Below are 20,092 nucleotides of genomic sequence, written 5' to 3'. Positions count from 1 at the left end.
CCCCATGCCGGCCACTCACTACCAGAAAGATTTAGAGGCGTCTTAAGAACTTGAAAGGAAATATTGCTCTAAAAGGCTTTTATTTCATCCGTAAATCGTTTACGTGGAAGATTCACATTAATCCGAAGCCCAAGGAACCAGATGCATTGGCAACTGTTAATCGCAGCCGCCGTAGTAGAGGGGCCGCTTCGGCTTCTAACCGGGAGGAGCTCGGGGTCCGGGCCAGCTGGGAGCTTTACGAGGCCGTGGCCTTTTCTTTTTCTCTGGAATGCGGCGGAGTGTGGACGCGGTGGCGATGGGTGGGAGAGAGAAGCCGAGCAAGAGGCAATGAAGCCATTATACTAATGCCAACCAATTCCCTACACCCTCTTCGCCACCCTTCCCTTTGGTCCACGATTTTATCATTAGACCCAAATTATTTTAAGAAAACCCGTTAGGATCAGTGCCTTTGAAAGGCTTTTACTCTAATGCCAAAGTGAGGATTGTTACAAATAGGGGTTTATGAAGAAGAGGAATGTCTGCATATTTTTACAGAAATTACTTTTAATTTTAAAGAGTTGCTGTGGAGTTACTCCGAAAAGCGCTCTGGGAGTGAGTGGTGAGCGCGCGGAGCTGCGGGCACTCGCGGCGCGGCGTCCTGGGCGCGGACAGGTCCAAGGCCTCCATTTCCACCAGAGGGGATGGTAGGGCAGGCAGGACAGCACTGCTAGGTTGAAAGCCCTTCTGTGTGACTTTTGGCACGACTCTTGGCTTCCTAGGAGCCCGCGGCGCTTGGGGGAAATGCGTTCGGTGCCCTGGGCACAAAATCGCATTTGCGTCAGGCACCCTAAGCTAGCAAATTTGGTGAAAATAAGCCAGACAGGTTTTGGTCCAGGTAGGCCTCTGCTTAGACGTCCTGACACAGCCTTTGTCAACACTGGCACTCACAGCGGCCGTCGCGTTTCCCCAGACAAGTCTGGCAATTATGGTGAGGCCTCGGGCAGGCCGAGCAGCCCGGACTCTGAGGATGGTGAGGCCAAGCCCAGCTGTGGTGGGCATGCTGATGGGTTTGAGAGTTTCCACCTTCTGCGGGGGTCTTAGCTGACCCACGCCTCTTTGGTGAGACCTTCTTCGAGACCTGACCAGGCCTCAGCCAGAGAGTAACAATCAGGGAGGGCTGTGCACCCCGGAGCTGCTCCTTAGCGTTGCGCGAAAGGCAGGGTCGGCCTTAAGCACCCAGATCCGACCGGCGGATCCCGAGCAGATCAGCTGGCAGCAGCAGCCTTGCTCGCCCGGCCAAAGTCCAACCCAGACTGTTCTCCCAAGGAGGCGCACAAGCTTAGTTCACATGGCGCAGCGCTCAGTGTGGCCTTGAGCGCGCACTCAGATTCAGGCAAGTGGACACTATTCCTGGGACTAACTAGCTTCTGCTGTATTATTATTACTCTCTCCAGAGCAGTGCTGCAAGAACCAACTGCAGATTGTTAAATTTCAGGGGAGCAAGGTCAAAGAAAAGCACTAGGGACTGAGCTTCAGCAGGAAGCCAGGCTGCGTCGGGCCGCAGGAACTCCAAACCAGACAACCTGGCATTCTGAGGTCAGGCCCAGGGGGAGAGAGTGAGGTGTCGGAAGAAGCCATTGAAACGCTCTTCTTAAAGTGTCCTGTAGCATCCCGACCTTGCGTGAGCAGTAGCCTCAGCTCTGCGTTCTTTGGACACTTTCCAGCGGGCCCCCGGGCAGCCTTGTGGAAACGTTGAGTGTTGCGTTATTCACTCACTCCTGTTGGGTTAGCCATTTTCGATTCTTTCCTATCCCCTTCGGTACCTTCTTATTTTCAGGTATCCTGAAAGTCTGACTTTCTCTACTAAACACGGGAAAGATAAGAAAATGGTCGTTTAATATGTTTTACAAAAATTCACAGCAGCAACAACAACACCTATTGCTGACTTGAGGAAATATACAAACTAGTTATCAACCAAGTTATCTTGTAGAGCTCTGTCAGCTTGTTTATAAATATATGTCTTAAAAGCCCTAAATTTCCGGAAAAACATTACGTGTCTTTTAAATGAAAGACATGTGATACAAGTTCTAGGATACTTGTATGCCAATAAAGGTCCAACTCATAGAGAAAAGTACAGCGTAGCCAAGGACAAGAGCTGTCTAGTAAACCCGTTTCTGCCCCATTACCAAAACTCACTTTTGATGGTAATGGTTGAAGGGGTGGGGTGTAAGGTGTCACCAAACCAACATAATATCCCTGGAGCTCCCTGGAAACTCAAATATACTACACAGAATCCCGTGTGTTTTGTGACATGTAACCACATGTGCCCATAACAGAGGAAACAGCTAATGGCAAACTCCCATAACGAATGTTTAATCTGCAGTTTTTGGCAAGAAGCTGGGTATTTGGTTGCCAACAGCTGCATTACATGAATTTTGAGAGGTTGAGATGGAGTTTATGGTTATGACACAGCTCTAGAGATAGGGGCATTAATAATACATTGAAAATAATACTAATCAAAACAATAATAATTCAATAATTTCTAAAAGTCACAAGAAGGGAGAAGAAATTACATTGGAGATGGTCTCACTTTCCCTGAGATCTACCTGGGCTTTTTCCACCAATGCTTTTAGGATAGCCTTCTTGGAAATTGGCCACAGTACTTTGATAAATGCTTTCAGCCGTCCAGATCCAGCTTGGCTCCTACCACCACAGCTTTTAAAAGTCCTCCTCAATTCCAGCAAGTCAGCTTGGCCCAGGCCTCAGGGGCAAGTGTGTTCTGAGGGGTAATCAGCTCGCCATATACATATATATATATACACACACATACATATACATATATATATACATATATATATGTATATATATATGTATATATATATGATCCAGTTTATTAGGTCAGGTTCTAGTTGGGGTTTTATCTCCTGGGGCCTCAGCCCATCAACCCCAGGCATCAGTTTTCTTCTTTACCCACTTATTTTGCCTTTGAGAGTATTGTTCATCTTTTTCCATATTCAGGATATAAACCCAGGATTCAGCTTTCCTTCTTTTATGTCAGTCAAGATATCTAACTAGAATAAGCTGCTGTGCATCCTTTTCTGATTTACTTCCTTCAGATCTGAACTTTCTCGATGGGCACTAACACTTGCAGGAAGTGGTGGGGTGAGAGAGGAGGTAGGAGAGCAACAGAGGTGGGGAGTCATTGATTTCTTTTAAAACCTAACAGAATTTAGGACATCCTAGGATTTCAGCACTTTTGGATCTTCACTGCGTATTGATGCTTCTTCACATCTTCTTGATGGGGATGAGGAGCAGTGCCTGTGGGTGAGGTGTAGGGCGGGGATCAGGAGGAATAATGAGGGTTAACAAGGCTATTACAGATTCAAGTCTCAGCCTCTCTGAAAAACTTTCTCCTCTAGTAATTGAGATGTGTTGGAGCAAACTTGATCATTCCTCTGGCACCATGGGATCCTAACAGAGAGGGGGAAGCTATTTTGTGAAGATAAAGATGACTGATGCTACCATTTGAAGTGACATCTAATATTATTCCTGCGACCAGTTTGTTGTTGTTGTTAGGTGGCAGCTCTCCCAAACAGTGATTTGGGATATTTTTAAAGTATTTTTTTTTTAGTTCCCATTTAGAGCCTAGAATTAAAATAATCAAAGAAGTTAAAATTATTAGAAAGTCCATTGAAATGAGTATTTGACCCTCCCCCACCCCCAAAGTAGTGCTTTATTAGAAAGTAAAATTCAGATAAAGGATTCGCAGGTTAAGGCATCTTGACTCATTTTACTAAAAAAGAAAAAAAAAACCTCACAGACTAAAAGCTGCTTTTAAAGCCAGTCATCCCTTTGAAAATATGTTTTGGGAAATGAAAAAAATATTTACATATGCAGCATTAAAGCAGTGGTAGAATAAATGTATAGACCACTCTAGTTTCTTCTGATTTCGACTTATTGAGAGAAATGTCACACTTACATACTAATAGTGGGAATGTCAAGATAGGATTGCTAGGATTTTAGTCTTAGCACTTCCTTTTTGCAGTGAGAGTTTGAGGCTTATTGTAAGTAGAGCAAGGAAAAAAATGTGTGCTGAATCAGGCGAACTATGCCAAATGTAGAAGAGCAATGGTCTGAAGAGGGGAGGAGCTGGTGGAGAGAAACTTTCATGAAAAAGTACTAAAATAATTGAATGTCATGTAGCATGGCAAGATGCCAGGTGGCCTCGTGTTTTTGTGTGCTCTGCTGCTGTTTTCCCTCCCTGCCTTCATCTTCAGCCTTCCCACAGCTCTGCAGACATAACAGATACTGAAATATATTTTGCATCAAAGCAGCTCAAGAGGTTTTCATCAAAATAAAAATATTTGGACACACAAAGAAATATTTAGGCTTTTCTTTAAAATATATGCCCAATCCACCATCATCTACTCCAGAAAACACACCTACAGACAAAAGTGTAACTTTGTGAGATTTTTGAAGTTTCTGCCTTTAAAAAAAATTACACAGATGTTAATCAATGTTGTAAGTCTTTAAAGTATGCTGCTGCAAAGCTGTCCAGTATGATGAATTAAATTTTTACACTTATTGTAATAATATTATTAAATGTTTTGGTGTTTCATAAACTTCTGTTTTTTCAAAAAGTGATACTTGTTTCTGAATACCAATGTGTTTCAATAATAGTTTTTCACACAGTTGTGTTTTCTTAAAAGAGAGAGAAATAAACTTCTGTTCTCCTAAAGGATCCAATTTAAATGTAAAAATACAGTATGACTCCTTGACCTTGGTGCAAATATCTTGATTTATCTAGCATATGTGTGCACATTACAATAGACATTGTTTGCTTTTACTATAAAATGTATTTTATTCCAAACTTTAAAAATAATTTATCTGCAATAATCTAGTCACCTTTATTTCTTTCTATGGCTGTCGTCATTTTTCCAGGAAGTTCTGAACATAATAAAGACCGTTAACGCTAGACTTCCTCTATGACACATATAGAAGTGCATAAGTAAGTTAAACTGTATTCAATTCATAGACTGGTATTTCACTATTAAACTATTAATCATGTCTCTAAAACGTTTTTCCACTATTTTGTTTGATAAGTGAATTGTTAAACTTCTACTCGATATATTTAAATACATTTTTTTCCTGCTGAGTTACTAGGTATGTCTGAAAGACAGGGCTGCTTATTTTCAAAAAGATGTGCGTGCGTATTCACTCCTTGAGCTTTCCCATTTCAGGGAAAGACTTCCTTAAAGAAAAATCTCAGTAAAGATAACTGAGACAAAATCATGGATATTTCTCCTTTGGACTGGAATTATGCAACGTAAATGTGAAGTCCGTGGTCATTAATCAAACCCGACCAGAGTATAGCCAATATACAAAATCAAAGAGAGTCGAAGGAGTGAAGTAGATTGGCCTCCCGTAAGTTCTCCACCTACTGTGCCCCTTCCGTGCCCATTGATACCTTTTATATCAGGACAAGAGGCTAGGGTTTGGACCCCAAGGTGTTGAGCTTAGAATGCATCTCATTGTGGCCATGAAAACGTCTCGAAATCTAGCTTATCCTCTGTCATGGTGTTTTATAAGTTCAACAGAAAGAGGAAAAACACAAACACATTTATTACATCAAGGATTATTCAGAGAGAAAAAAAGAGGGAGGAGAGAGCGCCAGCCCCTTTATTTCGAAAATCATCAAAGAACTTTAGAGAAAGGTAAAGATTAATATTCACTCCTTTTTTCCTCCCAACCTGTCTTGCCTATCCCGAGCAACACAGATTTCTGAAGCGAATTTTGATGAGTTTTAAATACTATCTGTCGTAATGAGAGTTTCGGAACAAAAAGCTCTCTGTGGCTCGCAAAAGGGAAGCCGAGCTTGTGGGACACCCCTCCTAGGGGTGCAGGACCAAGGGCTGCAAGCGGTGTCCCCGATCGCGCTGAACCACTTCCCAAAGCCTGCGCCCTCGCCCAGAGACAGCTGTAGACAGACATCTCGTTAGCCCTTTCTGATCAGGAACTGTGAACAGGTTGTGTGCGCAGCAAATTTTTGGAGGCAAATTGGTGCACCCCATTGCCTGGGTGGACCGCCGCTTGGTGCGCACCTCGGTGAAGGACCACCTTCCTGGCTCCCGGCCTGGAGGGAGCCATGAGCGACTGCCGTGCGGGACGTCTGGAATGAGGACCGGCTCTCCACTTCAACCAAGTGGGCGAAGTCCCTTACAATCAAGAACAACTCTGTGGTTAAACGCGCATAGGTGGAGGAGTCTCTATTCTGAGCAAAGAGAATGAAGTTTCGCTTCTCATGGAAACTTAAAAGAGCCTCGACGACGAATATGGAAAGGAGTTAGTGGTTAACCGATTTGATGCTAACATTTCATCAGTTGTGTTTTCACCCCTTTAAAGTTTAACCCTTGGAAAAACAGCATATTTTAAGCTTTCCCTCCAAATATTGATGTTGGCAGATGGATCATCTAGCCGTCCCTTGGTAAGGACAGTGCCCTTTTTGTTTCACATGTTGGCAATCAGAATTAATCCATATCACAAAATGCGGCAGATTTCGACTTTAGTCAAGAGACATGTAACTCTCTGACAGTAAAAAGAGCACGCCTGCACACACACACAAACTTGGGGGGACAAATTGGGGGTGGGGGGAGCGCCCGAAAGTAGCTCATACCTCACTTTTAACTACCTGTCCTCAACAAGTAATGATCCACTCCCCCGATTTAAAAAAAAAAAAAAAAAGCCAGGTTTCAGCCTGACTGCCAATATTTTCAATGCCAGGCCACGGTAATGTCTCTTCTTAAGATCTTGTTCCACACAGTAAAAAATTCTTAACCTTTACTGGATATTTTATGTCCTTTTTATTAAACAAAGTTGATGCATTACCTCTAGCAGGGTGGCGCCCTGGGCATCCGAAGACCTCTGTTGAAAAGCCTCAGAGACCTCATGGGATTACATCATCTTTCAGTTTCCAACATCAGATGCCCCCAAATGGACCCTCGTTATAAAATCCTAAAAAAATTAAACACTTTCTTACCTTCACACTTGCTCTCTCAGTTCACAAAACTTCATGAACGCACAATTTATTAATACAGTTCAAATATAATAAGCAATTAAAATGTTTCCTGCCATTCCACTAAACAAGTATTTTTAAGTTACCAAAAGAAAAAAAAAAGGCTTTAAAGAATACATTTATTTCCATTTCTTTGTGAGGTTTCAAACACTTTTTGCAATATTAAAATTACTATAAACTAAGTATTTAAAAAGGACTTGTTTTGGGTTCATTTCTGATTAATATTCTTGAAATTTTTTATTTTACACTGTATTTGATTCATATATGCTATTTTTGGGGAGAGGTACACAGCCACTCTTTTGCCACATTAGGAATTGCTTAATAATTGAATTGAGTTGAATTAAGCAAAATCTAAATAACCAATTACTCTGTTTTGAGTAGAAATGCCCTTTAATCTTGCATTCTTTTTTAGGTTAATAAAACTTTGAATATTTAGCTTAAAACTTAAAAAGAAACATAAATATTGGCAAATAAACTAAAGAAACTTTACTAATTTTTGCTTTTATGAAATAAAGTAGATCTATATGTACTGTTTCATTTAAGGTATATTAGCTTCTTTGGGCATCTCTAACTACTGGATCACAGTTGAGGCAAACCATATAGGATATAAAAGTGTCTCTATGGTACGTCATGCAACTATTTAGTTCTAGAGGTGAACACCATGGAATCCTGTAAATCACTTTAAAAAATTTCTTCAGGTATCATCCATTAAAGGTGTACCTTTATCCAATATTTTCACCAAAAACTTAAATATATATATTTTGTACTTACTGTGTTTTACAAATTATGCATTCCTAGGTTGGCCATCTAAATCTTTAGAATACCACAACAATTGGGATGCAGATATTTTGGGCAAAGGTAGCATGATAGGATTAAATTAATGGATGCAAACCCAAAATTGCAAATTAAAGTTAAAAAATATAGAGAAGAAAAACAAAGCTTATGGGGTTCAAACAATAAAGCTCTGAGGATATTTTTGAGTCTACAGCATGACTTAGTTGCTAAGGAAGCTTAAAAAATTAGCTTATATTACATTAACAGAAATGAAGCAGTCACACATCAAGGAAGACCAGATCTTCAAAATACACTGAAATACGAAGAAATCTAGAGAATTAAGAAGAGCTCTGGAAACTATTTTTATAGAGAAAGAATAATAATATGAAGCTATTTTGTGTACTGTGGCTGAGGCAAAAAGGATTTGTAAACCACATCATATTAAAGCATGGTTGTAAGAAAGACTTAGTGAATTTTAGCTAAGACATAAGAAAGAGTGATTAAATTTGTTCAGTTTTGCCCCAGTGGTGGAACTAAGTGGATTGACTTGAGTTAGAATTTTTTTTTTCATGTAAAAGACTAACTTTCTAACATTGAAAATTCCCTATAACTAAAGTGGCTGATTCTCAAAATTTCACATTCAGTTGCACTGAACAACGTGTGTTACAGGGTTAAACCTGTCATGCAAGTCTCTTTCAAATCAAAGCTTCCAAATGACATCTTTAATGCTCACAATAGTTTACATATCTGAAGTTTGTTCACAAATATGTTATAGTACTACTATTTCTTAAATTAGGATTAATTTTCTCTAAGAGGAAGAAAATAACTTCTTATATTTTGCCTTAAGCTGAAATTAAAGACTAAACTTAGAACACGAGTGTCTTCCGTCAAATAACTATTGTATCATTCTAGCCTATGTTTTCATTATACAGATAAGCAAGTTTGGCTAACTGGTTACACACTTGTATCATAATTTGTATTTATGCATATCTATTTCATCTATAACACCAAAAATGTAATAATGTAGAGACTACTTTCAGACTCACTGGGGTTACGTCCAGCTCTACCACTCGCTGGCTGTGGGATGCTGAGATTCTGATTCAATGTTATCTTCTATCAAATGAAGGCTATTTATCTCCAAGGGTAGGAGTAAATATAAAGAAAGTTAATGTATCTAAAGCATTTAGAACAGTGCCTGGTCATAAAATAAGCACTATGTGTTTGTTGTTGTTATATATTTTAAAATTCAGATTGTGAGATCATTTACTAAGGATTATGGACATAGAAAAAATAATTAACAAATGGTGCTGTGCAATGAAAAGTGACTTAAAAAGCAGAAACAGATTCAACTATTTACATTAAGAATATGAAGTATATAATTATGATTGTTAGAAGATGGAAAGAAAGAAAATGGATCACATACGAGAAATAAATTTCTGTGAAGTTGCTAGGTCCTGGGGTGTGTGTACTGCATTAAGGTAAGTGTGTTTACCCCAAAGTACTATTCAGGTAGGCTATAAACATAGGTATTGCCTCTAACATAAATTTTCCATGATTTTTGTGACTCAGGAGATGGGGATCCTACTCCTAACTCTGTCATTAACAATCTGTATAACCTAAAACAAGTACAGTTACCTTTTAAAATCTCAGCTTCTCCTGTTAAAATATTCCAATTGTAAGACTATGTATTTTTAAAAGTTTATTAGAAATATAATTCTTATTGATTAAACTATATGGTCTCTAAGATGCTGCTATGAGTGGACATGATCCTCCAAAATTCATTATGGTGAAACTCTAATCCTCCATGTGATGGTACTTGGAGATGGGGCCTTTAGGAGGTAATAACGTTAGATTAGGTCATGAAGGTGGGGTCCTCATGATGGGATTAATCACCTTGAAAGGGGATGAAGAGATACAAGATCTTTCTCCCAGATATGTGAAGATATAGTAAGAAGACGGCTTTCTTTAACCAAGAGGAAGGCCCTAATCAAGAACCCACGAATACTGACACCCTGATCTCAGAATTCCAGCCTCCAGAACTGTGAAAAATAAATATTTGTTATTTAAGCCATCAAGTCTATGGTATTCTGTAACAGGAGCCTGAGCTGTCTAAGATAGAAAGGCATTCCAATTCTTTGATTCTAATGTATTCCAGATAAATAATCTTAGAAATTCTAGCTTTTTCCAGCCAATACTAGACTTAGAGGACTCATCATAGTGCTCCTGAAGGCCTCAAGGAACTCAATCCCTTGAGTAGATTAGCTTGTTCAGGAAATCACTGTCTATATCAATATTCTTGTGAGGAAAGTATTTACAAATGGTTCTACCAATGTCTATACTTGGAAGCAGATTCACTGAGATTTAAGAGGAATCAGCATATGTAAAATCAACTATCAACAGAATGAAATGCCAATACCTCTGTAGATCAAGTTTTCTTGCACTTAATAATACTTATAAATTGATATACCCATTAAGTAGAGACTTCAGTGTAGGTAACTTGATTGTTATCGCTTCATATTTGAATTAAATTACCATTTCCCCTAACCATGTCTAATTTTATTTCAAAATACACCAATAATTATTGGAATGAACATTATCTGAGAATACTATTGCCTTCCTATTTTGAAAACCATCACGTAGCAGTTTTCCACCTAGAGATTATACAAATACCCTGAAGCCTATAGATTGGACAGGTATCAGGGTAGTTGATCCAATCCTGTTTCCCACTCACATTTTCCACTAATTTCCGGTATCTCACCAAACTATCTCAGTTCTGTCCAATAATCCAGTCCTTGGTTTGTTCTACTCTCCATTACCTGGATACATTATTGTGATCTGTCTCCAGGTATTTATTTAGGCTGTATTCTTCACTTAAAATGCTTTCGTTAATTCATCCTTCAATGTCAGTTAAATAGAATCTGGAAACACCTGCTCCCTGCCCATTATGATTAGAAACCAATCCTTCCTACCTCCAAAACATTTTTTTAATCCCCTTTAGGATACTAAACTATAAGTTCCTTATAGCGTTGTTTATTGGATCTAGGTCAATACTTTAAAAATAGTTTATGAAGGTAAGAAAACAAAAAAGTTTTTTATTCTCAATAGAAAATATAATTGCACAGTTTAAACACTGAATAAGATTAACAACGAAACAAAACAAAGTGGTGGATATCCTTCTCTTTGTCTCCCTAGAAAGACAACTAGCCAATATTTCCTTTAAAGGGAAAGGGATGAAAATGTAGCTACATAGTTACAGATGTTAATAATCTAAAACCACCTTATTTTATGTATTTTATTTTTCTTTAGGACATATAATTTAAGGGGCTAATACAGCTAAAATTTTCTCCTGTAGGACAATGTCCTCATAATTCTATTTAATAAAAGGTATATATTAAATTATTCTACCAATTTATTTTACAGAGAATATGGGTCACTCTAATCAATTATCTGGCATCCACTTTGGGATCCTGGTGGTGGAAACATTTTCTGGGTGTATTTTTGAGTATAGAGCATTGCATAAGGAGTCCTGGTGTTGACATTCCCACCTATTTTCTAGAAATGCGTCTTGTACTTGCCATGTGAAAAAATAAGTTAACATGCTATTAGAAATTTATACCTTTTACATTTCCAAAGATTCTACACACTTACAATGGAAGAGGCTTAAGATTTATGTATTTGAAACATTGAGTTCTACTTCCATTTCAAGACAAATCTAGAGGAATCAGGTCTCAAAGTATTTTTTTGAAAAATTTCCCATCATTTCATGGAAATATTTCCCATCATTTCATGGAAATATTTCCTAAATATGGTATGTCGAATTGATCCAATTTTAATCTGCTTAGAGTATTTTTGGTTTAATTTTGGAATATTGTTCTGGAAAGGTTTACTGTATCAAGTTGGTATTTGCTGAATGTTTATGAAAATCAAGATATTAGGCCAGGGGCTTCTCATTATACTTTCTCACTTGACGCTATTGAGTTATACATTAATCTGAACTTAATGGTAAGGAAACAGGCTCAGAGAGTTTGTCACTTGTTCAAGATGCCCATCAGAGCAAGGATTGGAACACAGCACAATCAGATTACAAAAAAACAAAAGTTCTTTTAACTTTCTTCCATATGTCTCACACCAAAATATGTGCTTAGCAGAACAAAATTGTTGTGCTTATTTCTTACTTTGTCTATGTATCACACTGAGTTATTCTAAGCACTGGTTTTATTTTGAAGTTAACAGAAAATCCATGGTTGGATCAAATTTGAATAATGTGGAGAAAGATGAGAAGGAGATTCACCCTTACTAAGTCTCCTTGTAATTTTCCACTGATACATGAGCTTTGGTAGAGAACTCTTGAATCCAATAACTTTGGGAGAAAACCTCACATCCATATGAAAGTTTAAAGTATTAATTTAGCATTTATTATTTTATTTGTAACATGTATTAACATTTACAAATAGCTACATACTTATAGATGTTAATCTAAAATTACTTTATTTTATGCATCTTTGTTTCTTTAAGACATGTAATTTTAGGGGCTAATATGGCTAAAATTTTCTCGTGTAAGACAATGTCCTCATAATTCCATTAAATAAAAGGTATCTGTTGGATATATTAGATTAAATAAAATACAGTATTAAATTAAGTTTACCAATTTATTTTTACATTTCTAATGTGACTTAAAAATGTAAAATTACATACATGGCTCACATCATACTTACATTGGACAATGCTGATCTAGATCTATCCTTTGGGGGTCATAAAAATAGTTTGAAAGTTTCTATTATAGCGTTTGTGGGAGAAAATTACTTTTCAGACGTATTTATTTTAAAAAATAGTTTTACATTTACTCATCTGGTTATCACTGGCAGCTGCATTCAGGCCTCCACAAGGAAATTATGAACTTGAAGTGCTTTCTCACCTCTGCTCTTGCAATATAAATGTGGTTATAACAACACTTCCTAAAATGTAGGAGTGCTATGCAGATTATATTCATCACTAATGGCAAATATAACCATGAAATGTAAGGAGAACTTTTCCTGTTGCATTATTAATTGAATTGGCTCACTTTTCTCAAAAGCTTCAAAGAATCTTCCTGTAGCACCTTGGCTTGTTATTGCCTTACAGCAAAGACTACTAGCAAGTAAGTTCTCACTCACTCTAACCTCCCACTGCTACAGCAGACATTGGCAGTTGTGACACTCTTCCATGCTGCCTTATGCATTGTTCTGTACTGAAATCTAATGAAGCCTCATGATCCTTTCCTACAGGTGGCTATTCCAGATCCACTAGAGAGGGCTCTCGAAACTTACTTGCTCCCTTGCTCTGAAGTGCTGACAGGGATGTGAATTATAGAGAAGTCACATGAAGCGTTTCAGTTTAACTTTTGGTTTGGGTAAAATTCTGGTTCCCAGTAATGTAGATGATCTGCATATTTGAAAAGGAAGTGTGAGTGGTTGTCAGGAAGTGCCACATAAAACATAATCATATGATTCTTGGAAGTTATAAATGCATTATACTTGTTTTTATCTTTCAAATATATTCACTTACGCGACTGCTGTTGGCTCTTATATTTTGTGTCTTTTAGATTAAAACTGGATTTATGATCCAACAGGATGTCAAATATAATATGGCTCTCATTACAAGAATCCATCCATATCACAGTGCAAATTGTGCTATTTGAATAATTAATAACTCTATCTATGTAAAACCTGATATGAAATAGATTACAAGTCAGGGGCTAATCCTATTTCTTACAACAAGTATTTTAATAACATAAAAGACTTTATCCTGACTTTGTAAGATGGTCTTTGATTAAAAACAAATAAGTACAGGAAATCAAGGGTTAAATTCAATTATGCCACTTTAAGGTCTAGAACCACAATGGAGGGTTATTTCCACTTTTTATTTCATAATATTCACTATGTTTAGCAGAATCCAAGTTCTCTTGTTTTATAAACTAGGATTTGTGTGCCCTGTTTTGTGTAGTCTCTGTGTCTCCTAATATCTTACCAATTATTTTCTGCATAAAACACCCTTTCTATATTATTTTACACAACAGTTTCAAGGTTAGTGTCGTCCAACAGAAATATGTTAACTGTATATAAAATTTGAATTTTTTAGTACTTACATTGAAAAAATTAAAAAGAAACAAGATATTATTATTTTAATTAATATAACATTATTGGGCAATTCTGTATTTTTATATGAAATCTCTGAAATCTGATATGAATTTTACACTTACACTTTATCTCAGCTGAGATTAGCCATATTTTAAGTACACCCTAATCACAATTGTCTAGTGGCTAATGTGTTGCACAGCAAGGTCTAGATTATGGTTCTTTCAGTGCTCGGAAAGGGCCTTTCTCTGAATTTCACAATAATTAGAGCAGAACAACTCCATCTAGGTAAGTAAAAATATCATGGCAGATAATAGATTTCATTGTATACTGAAAAGAAGAATAGAATTACATCTCATATTAGTGACTAGTTAGAAATTAGATTTGACAAATGCAATTCCATAGACCCCTTAGGGGTCTTCTTCCCCTAAATTAAAATATATTAATTATAACTCATTTTGCTCTCAGTGCAGTCATAAAAGCCATAAATCCAGATGATGAATAATTAGCTACATGATAAATAATAATGAATACTACTTTAAGGACATCACTATGTTTCTCTTTCCTAGGAAACCTATTACAGCTACTTGTATTATAGCACACTAGAGTAAAATATAATCAAAATATATCATAAATGTTTAATGTTATTTGTCTAAACTTCATGTCAGTATTACACAGACACAGTATTACACATGTCAGTATATACACAAATATATTGTTGGTGGATTGGACCTTGGGACGGGGCTATCTCCATAAACCAACGTAGTTGATTCTCATCAAAATATTCTGAAATCTCCAAACACCCCCTACCTAGCACTTCTACCAAGCTTTTTGTGATTAGCTATTCATTTTACCATTCTTACTAGCTAGAAGGCAGTGATGATAAGTGTTACATCAGTGGGATGGGGTATTTACAGAAAGGTGAGAATTAAATCTGTAAGGGGTTGGGGATAGGATATAGAGCACAGGAGAGGACAAAAAGTCATTGTGGGTCACATGTTTGAATAGTAACATTGCCTAGGTCCATCACTGTTAGTCCAAAATTCAGTGCCAACTAAGTGAAGAGAAAGGCTCATATTTTTACCTCCCTGAATCTTAAAAACAAATATTAGTTAAAATGTTGACTCAAGGAAACAGGAGAAAGACTATTTCTTGGTTTGATTTCTTTCATGTTTTATCCAATTTTTAAAATTTCAGTTTAACTTTTCTATTTCCATCAACATGAATTAAGTAGTGCTACAAAATGATAAGTTTGAGCATTGAAAGAATTTTTTAAAGATAATAATGTCAAGGCTGAACACAATAAACAGCACTATAAAAAAACTTCCAGTTTCACACCATAATTAGGAAAGTATTTTATTGACATATATATCAATCATTACCTACAAATTTAGGAGCATCAGCACCATTCATCATCCTCAAAGTTAATATTATGAAACAATTACACAGGTTACAGAATAAGGAAATTATAGATTAAAGCTGATCTTGATGTAGTTCCAACTATACATGGAGTGGAAATTCTAGGACACCACATATGAATCTACATCTTCTTTATTGATTGACAGCTGAAGTCTCATTAACGTTTCTATCTCAATCAAGTTAAAAGAGATTTATAGGTTTGCAATGCAATAGGGATCCAAAAGTAGATGGGGGATACAAATTAATACAAGTATCTCTACATCACTTCAGTTATCTCTAGATGAAATATTTTAATAAAATACAGGAAAAACAAAAAAATACTAAAGTTCACTGGATGCTATTATTGAGCAACACAGCTGTGGAAAGTAACTGAAATACTATGAATTTAGCTTTATGAAAAAAGTTCCAGACTCGGGAGAGTAACAGCTCAATGAGAACTAAGTGTAAACACAGCATTTTGTAAATTTACTAAGATAGGGTAGAACATTAATCACACAACAGTAAGACTTTAATAAAATGGGTCTGTAATTTTAGAAAATAGGTTAATATTACAAAATGGTAAGTTGAACTTTGAAAAAGTACTTTTAAATGACAATTTTAAGGTACCTTAATGAAAAATTAAAATGATAAAGTATTTCTTGAATTAGTATAATAATGTAAATGAACCAAAATTAGCATCTACCTCTATAAATAAGGGTAATAAACATCTGACGTTACAGATAAAATATCCAATTATCCAATTGGTAATTACTTAAATTTCTATTTTAATTTAAACTGACTATACATTTTATCATTACTCTCTAATCTATTTAAGATAATTTAAAATTAAAAAATAAAGGCCTTTGTCACTGTTTATTTTCAGTTATTCCATGTATTAATTTATCTTTGAAATACTCAAGTACGATAATCTAATAAAGTTTATTAATATATTAATCATTATTGCTACATTAAACAGCATCAGTAAGACAGTTACATTCTCTTTTATGTGTATAGCATTAATATTTATTATTGGTAACAAAAGCTATCTGGAATACATGTGTCATAAAAATTAAAACTAAAAAAACTGGATATGCAAGTTCCATTACAATATCTTAAGAATTTTCTGGAGGCCATTCCACATGAACACAGGAAGAAATGCAAAACTACATTTTATAGAAGAGAAATAAGATAGCTCCACTAGAAAACAAACTTGTGAAATACGTATAATAAACCAAATTAAATATAGGAGTCTAAAACCTTGTATCCAGTTGGTAACATGACTAGATATCCAGACTTCATGAAACAGTTTGCCACATGTTTTGAATGCTGAAGCCTTAAGGATTAGTTGGAAATGTTCGCCTTCTTTTTGCCACTTCCCCATCCACCACTGAGTTGTACAGGATTGTCTCGGAATGATATACGTTCTTTTTTAGAAGGTCTTGTATTTGTTATTATTGGCGATATTGGTATTCCCTTAACTGAACAACCTAGACAGTGATATTAAATATACACTTTCACTGAATATGAACCAAATACATTATATTTTAAAGTAAGAAATATATTTAAGTCAAAAACATGCAGTTGAAAAGTCTATGATCTTGGAGTTTAACAGACGTATCTTTGTTGAGCTTATTTTTGTTTACAAAGTAATACTGTATAATCAAGATTGGTATAAAATGTGTTTAGGTTAAATAGAGGGAGGGTACTAAAAATATTAAATAGATATAATGGTTTCCTTCTATCAACAGATTCAAATATCGTTGGTGTTTCACAACTATAAAATGATAAATCTTCTTAGTTTTAAGGTACTTATATTTGTTTATATTTTCATAGTTTAAATTGCTATAATTATTTATATTATTATAATAAAACATGTTAACATTTGTCTTATAAATAGTCCGGTTGAATGAAGGTCTTTTTCAGAAAAAGGAGTTTTTGGTAAAGTGGAAAGTACATTAGATCTAGAATATCAAGATATTCATGAATTTTACTTTGGCTACCTAAAATAGAGCTTTGTGACTCTGGACAGGTAACAGTCTTTCTGAGTATCAGTTTTATAAATGAGAGAAATAATATATGCACATCAGGATTATTGTGAAGACTGCCTTTCTGATTATGTTGTAAGTGGTAGTAAGATCAGTGAGACTGCTTTGTACACAGGGGCCATAAAATGGAAGAAATTATTATTTATATATAATAAAAACTTTGAGAGGTTAAAAACAATAGTCCTAGTCCTAAGAATAGTTCGTGGATTCAGAATGTTTACTCAGTAAGACCCCAGGATGCCATATCAAGAATACTATTAAAGAATTATGGCCTGGCGCAGTGGCTTACGCCTGTAATCCCAGCACTGGGAGACCAAGGCTGGCGGATCACTTGAGGTCAGGAGTTCGAGACCAGCCTGACCAACATGGCGAAACCCTGTCTCTATCAAAAACACAAAATTAGCCGGGCGTGGTGGCGCATGCCTGTAATCCCAGCTACTCGGAAGGCTGAGGCAGGGTAATCGCTTGAACCTGGGAGGCGGAGGGTTGCGGTGAGCCGAGATCGTGCCATTGCACTCCAGCCTGGACAACAAGAGCCAAACTCCGTCTCAAAAATAAATAAATAAATAAATAAATAAATAAATAAATAAAATAAACAAAAAAATAAAAATTATGATCCTCTGCTTTAAATCCCCTTAGGATTAAGCAAGAGCACAGGGCTGTATCTGTGGGGAAAGGGTTTGGAAGTAGCAGAGTGAGGCATTCCAGGGCTTCCTCAGTACTGGCTTGAGGCAAAGGTTGAAACTACATGATTCTCCATTGTGATGCTTTCGTGCTTAAGTAAGGTTAGAGAAAAAAAAAATAGAATGTTTTTTGAGATTAATACTTTTCCAACTAAAATTTTAAATATTTAAAAAATATAAATTCAAATAGAAGAGTCAGCAAACATTAGGCCATTTGAGGAAATTGGTCTGTAATTTCAAATTTGATGCAACATGATGGTGAATATTGATTGTAAATGTTCATTTTATGTTTAAAAGCTCTTTAAATACAGAGTACTGAATTTTGGTTTTTAATCTTAAAATTATGATTAGCAAAACAAATTCAAAGGAGTTAATGAACCTCCATACAGGGAATATATTTTACTTTTATTCCACCAAGAGAACAGCACTAAAAAGCAGGGATAAAGTTAAAGGCTAATGATTAAGTACAGGACATGCAGGATACAATAAAGACTAATGCTCATGTCTACAGACACTAGTCTGTAACGGAGCTAGAGACAGATCATGGCTCAGGAATTTAGAGACCTTCATGGTTGGCACTTGTGAAGGCAAATCTCAGTAGAGAGACTAACAACTGAGAGAGATGCCAACTGAAGTTGACTTCCACGTGTTAGCCAGATTCATTCTACGCTGAGCTACTCTCTATGAATCAGTCAGTAGTCCTTCAAGAAAGGGCAAGAACTCTTTCAAGCAACAGAAATATTACTAAGCATAGAAGCAAGAGTTTCTTAGATGATAAACTATTGGCCTAAAATGCATTAAGAAAGTGTCTTAAAAACCTATCCTCCTTCTACTTACTATTTATACATTGGAAACCTATAGCTTGATATTTTTTCCCAGATAACAGAATGGAATGTCTACTTTGGTCCATTTTAAAAAACAATAAAAGTAATAGTAAACCCTCATCTTGCCTCAGCAGTAAAAATTGTTTGTAAATATAACTGTTGCCTGGATACCGAATATTTATTTATGAGAATACATTAAATAGGGAGAATGCTGGGGCCACCGGTGGAGGTAGAGGGAGAAGGGTGTCTGAGTAATGAACTAATGAAGTAACTTTACAATTTTGATATATTTATTTAAGATAAAAAAGAGATTAATAAAACAGTAAGCAGATTTTCACAAATGACTAATACATTTTGTTCCACTACAGTAAGCTAAGTCAAGTGCCTTCCAAGCATTATTCAAGGTAATAAGTAGAAGTAAGTATGTATTTTAAAATTTAATTCAATAATATAATTTCTCGTTAGTTAATATTCTTGATAAAACTATCTTAGTATAAAGATGTCTTCAGGGTTTTCTTCATTTTATTTATTTTTTGATACAGTGTTTCATAGTCACCCAGGCTGGAGTGCAGTGTATGAATTGAATCTCAGCTCACCAAAGCCTCCACATGCTGGGCTCAAGTGATCCTCTCATCTCAACTCAGCCTTCCCAGAAGCCGGGACTAAAGGCATGCAAAGGGTTTTATTCTTAATATAAGCTTTTTTTTTTTTTTTTTTTTTAACCAACATGAAAAGTAACATGTAAGGAGGGTAGTACTTTTTGTATAAAGTATTGAAACACATATAGATAATTTCATATGCTTCTAAAATATTTCAAAATGAAATAGACTGAATTGCATTAAAGCCCAGCTTTTCTTTAGATCAAACTTTTATTCTTAACAGTGTTTCTACATTTTAAGGGACTTTTCTATTGACAGAAATTTACCATATGGTACATTTCCCCCCAATATTATTATGTTGTATTTGAAGCTGCTGATGAATCTTTAAATCTTTTTGTACTTACTCACAACGTAAACCTATATTTTAAAAACAGTTTGTAAACTTTCCATTGCTTGGTATAATTCCTTAAGCAAATAATAATTACAATTTAAAAAGCACATTGTGTAATATTACAAGACAGCTTTATAGCAGTTTTGAAGTGGAATGAAAATGCTATAGAAAATGAGTCTTTAACAAACACTTAAGTGAATATATAATGTTTTGT

At 35.9% G+C, this 20,092-nt stretch overlaps 1 protein-coding gene across 5 annotated transcripts in view; it reads right to left on the bottom strand.

Moving 5' to 3' along the window:
• LRRIQ1 (leucine rich repeats and IQ motif containing 1) overlaps positions 6,933 to 20,092 on the bottom strand; it is a 236,455-nt gene continuing 223,295 nt past the window's right edge. For 3 of the 5 annotated variants that reach the window (XM_011538817.3, XM_024449221.2, XM_047429655.1), the window contains one exon: positions 15,281 to 16,823. In XM_011538817.3, the coding sequence (XP_011537119.1) occupies positions 16,678 to 16,823 (146 nt within the window). In that variant the 3' untranslated portion in view covers positions 15,281 to 16,677. Of the gene's footprint in view, positions 6,991 to 15,280; positions 16,824 to 20,092 lie in introns of those variants that run through there. The other 2 variants (XM_011538819.4, XM_024449222.2) reach the window with 1 other exon arrangement.

This window comes from Homo sapiens, chromosome 12 (assembly GCF_000001405.40).
Source record: "Homo sapiens chromosome 12, GRCh38.p14 Primary Assembly".
Taxonomy (NCBI): domain Eukaryota; kingdom Metazoa; phylum Chordata; class Mammalia; order Primates; family Hominidae; genus Homo; species Homo sapiens.
Note: the sequence above shows the minus strand (reverse complement) of the source record. Positions and strands in the feature narration are given on the sequence as shown.